The 3,323-nt window shown below is 40.7% G+C and overlaps 1 non-coding gene across 1 annotated transcript; it reads right to left on the reverse strand.

Annotated features, from left to right (window-relative positions):
* Nucleotides 1-2,365: 2,365 nt before the first annotated feature.
* Nucleotides 2,366-2,431, reverse strand: MIR4495 (microRNA 4495). The gene has a single exon (NR_039716.1). It is a non-coding gene; the product is annotated as a microRNA 4495 (primary transcript).
* Nucleotides 2,432-3,323: the final 892 nt, after the last annotated feature.

The following is a 3,323-nucleotide window of genomic DNA, read 5'->3' on the forward strand; positions in this document are numbered from 1 at the left end:
GCATGCTGCTTGCCCATAAAGATGGAACCTTGATTTGTGGGTTTTACAGCAATTACTGTCTAGAGCAGCACAATCCAGGAGAACTTTCTGCAGTGACAAGAATGTTCTCTATCTGCGCTGTCCCATGTGGTAACTGTGACCCACATGTGGCTGTCAGCACTGTTATTGTGGCTAGCGCAACTGAGGAATTGAACTTTTTATTTTATTTAACCATAACTAGTTTAAATTAGTATAGCCATATGTGGTGGCTAATGCAACCATATTCTAGACCTACCAAGATTCCCTCTCCTAGTCCTGGGTCTCGTGTGTGTGTGTGTGTGTGTGTGTGTGTGTGTGTGTGTGTGTGTGTGTGTGTGTGTTTGTAGGTGGTTGTACTACTTTAAAGTGAGGCTGCCCTAACAAATTACCACAAACTGGGTTGCACACAGCAACAGAAGTGCATCCTCTAATATTTGCAGAGGCCAGAAATCCAAAATCAAGTCATCAGGGTTGGTTCCTTCTGGAGATTCTGAAGGAGAAGCTATTCATGCCTGGCTCCTAGCTTCTGACAGTTACCAGTAAATCTTAGTGTCCTCTGACTTGTAGACACTTCACTCCGATCTCTGCCTCTGTCTTCACATCACCTACTTCTCTGTGTCTCTGTGTTTTTATGTCTCAAATATCTCTCTCCTTTCTATTACTGGGACACCAATCTTGGATTTAGGGTCCACCTACATCCACAATGATCTTATCTCAAGATCCTTAATTACATCTGCAAAGATCGTATTTCCAAATAAGGACACTTTCACAGGTACCAATGGTTAGCACTTGAACAAGTCTTTGAGGGAGACACAATTTAATCCACTTCAGTGGTTTTCCATCCCCTTCTTCCACAAGCAGTTCTTCTCTCAGATCTAGTGCTAACCAGATGCAGGCTTGCACAAGGACTCAAATCACCTTCCCAAGCAGAGATTCGCTTGCTTATCTCCATGATATCCCAAACTACGCATGACTCTTTTACCCAGTTGCTTCTTCCTGTTATAGACTTCAGACCCTGAACCATTTTAACTCCTTTATATTCCGTTAGTCACCAGTATTTTTAAGTGCTTTCTAATATTAGGCATGATTCTTTCCTTGGAGCCAGACCCAATTTTTATTTTTTAAAAGGAAGCAATGAGACAGAAATCTTGGAACACTATGAGAGCATTCAGAGAGTTTCTCTACTGCTCTTTCTTAACTATTTAATTGGAAAAATATTAATATACAGATAGTGCCTGACCTGGTTTCAGCCATGTGACTATGACATTTCTTCTTTTCTCAGATGTGTGAGGACCTATAGATGCTTCCTGCCACCTTTTGTGGAAAGGGGCAGCTACAGACACTGGGAAACTATGGTTCAAGGGAAGAAAGATGCCCTAACCCCACTCCCAACTCACTAGGGGTAGAAGCAGTTGATGGAGTAAGATCCAGCATAACATAATTCCATTATCTCACTTGAGGTGGGTTTAACAGGCAGGTTGGCTCTGTTCTCTGTAGCAACTCTATATTTAGCAAGCTGGCACAATTTTTAGACAGATTTCTCACAAGAACTTGGCAAACATTCCATGTTTCCTTTACTGCAATATGCAGAATTTATATTTCTGACAAAATTGCTCACACATCTTAGTGTAACTTGCTTAGTAGTCACACTTTGTCAATTTTATTTTTTTCCCAAGCAAAAGGAGAAATGATTAATGATATGAAGTTGAGGGCTGGGAAAGGGAATTTGACCCAAGATCTCTCGGAATATCAAAGCCTGTCAAGTTTTCCTTTAAGGGGTCTGTCACACCTACACCTTCGCAGCCAGTCTCCCACCCATCTTTAAATCACAGCCACATTACCTCCCAGTAATTCTAGGATTAAAATACCCCAACTGCCCTCCCTGTTCTGGGATTCTACATTTCATTCTGCACCACTCTCTCGAGTTCATCTTCTAAAACATCAAGGTGGTTATAAATATTAGCATGGGGAAGGGGGAATGGTTCCCAGTGTCAAATATATTATTTTTTCTGTACTTTGCTTTATACTGGAAATATTCCTAAACTAAATATTTATAAATGAAGTTAATAAATATCATAGTGTGTCTGAAACATAATTTTAGAAGGCTAATGCCACTCTCACACATAATTAGAAGATTAAATCGATAAACAAGAACCTATTTATTTGAAATTTTTTTAAAACACAACTTATAGTTTCCCCACATTTTAAACTCCTTTGCTCAATATTTAAGGTTCTACAGCTTTACTTCCTCCTTTCATTATGATTTCATTTCTCGCCTCTTCCTTATACACACCATGGTATTCCTGGGTTATCAAAATAACAGCTACTTGTTGGGGAAACTGAGACTCAGAAATGTAAATAAGCTTTTTGCTCAAAATAACTCCACTGAGCAAAAAGCCTGTTTACATTTCTTAGCCTCAGTTTTCTCATCTGTAAAATGAGAAAAAAATATCACCCATCACATAGAATAGTTTTGAAGATTAAATAAGATACAGTATATAATTGAGTGCTGTTGGCACCCAACAAGTATCAGGACAGAAATTTGAACCCATGTTTGTTGACATCAGTCCACATTCTTAACCTAACCACAGTGCCTAGCACAATGGTAGCATTCAAAAACTGGTTGTTTTTATTAGACATCATCAGATATAATCACAATCTGTTCTGTTCTGTTCTGTCCTGCCTCCCTGCTTTGGAATGTCCTCTCCTGAGAAGTTTAATGATTCCTTTTTTTTTTTTTTTTTTTTTGGACAGAGTCCTGCTCTCTCACCCAAGGTGGAGTACAGTGGCATGATCTTGGCTCACTGCAACCTCCGCTTCCCAGGTTCAAGCAATTGTCATGCCTCAGCCTCCTGAGTAGCAGGGATTACAGATGTGCACCACCACTCCTGGCTAATTTTTGTATTTTCAGTAGAGACAGGGTTTCTCCATGTTGGCCAGGCTGGTCTCGAACTCCTGGCCTCATGTGATCCTCCCCCCTCAGCCTCCCAAAGTGGTAGGATTACAGGCATGAGCCACTGTGCCTGGCCCAGTGGCAGTGGTTCTGATGGCTGTCACTGCATGACAAGTTATCTCAAGACTTAAAACAACCATCTTATTACATTCACAAATTCTGTGCCAGAATTCCAGACAGAGCACAGTGGGTATGGTTTTTCTCTGCTCGATGATATTTAAGGCCTCAGCTGAAAAGACTTAAAAGCTGTGGGTGACTCAATGACTGGGGGATGGAATTATCTGAAAGTGCAACTAAATGTCCAGAATGGCTTCCTAACAAGGCTGTCCACTGACGATGCTCTCTGTCAGCT

Source organism: Homo sapiens, chromosome 12 (assembly GCF_000001405.40).
Source record: "Homo sapiens chromosome 12, GRCh38.p14 Primary Assembly".
Classification (NCBI taxonomy): Eukaryota; Metazoa; Chordata; class Mammalia; order Primates; family Hominidae; genus Homo; species Homo sapiens.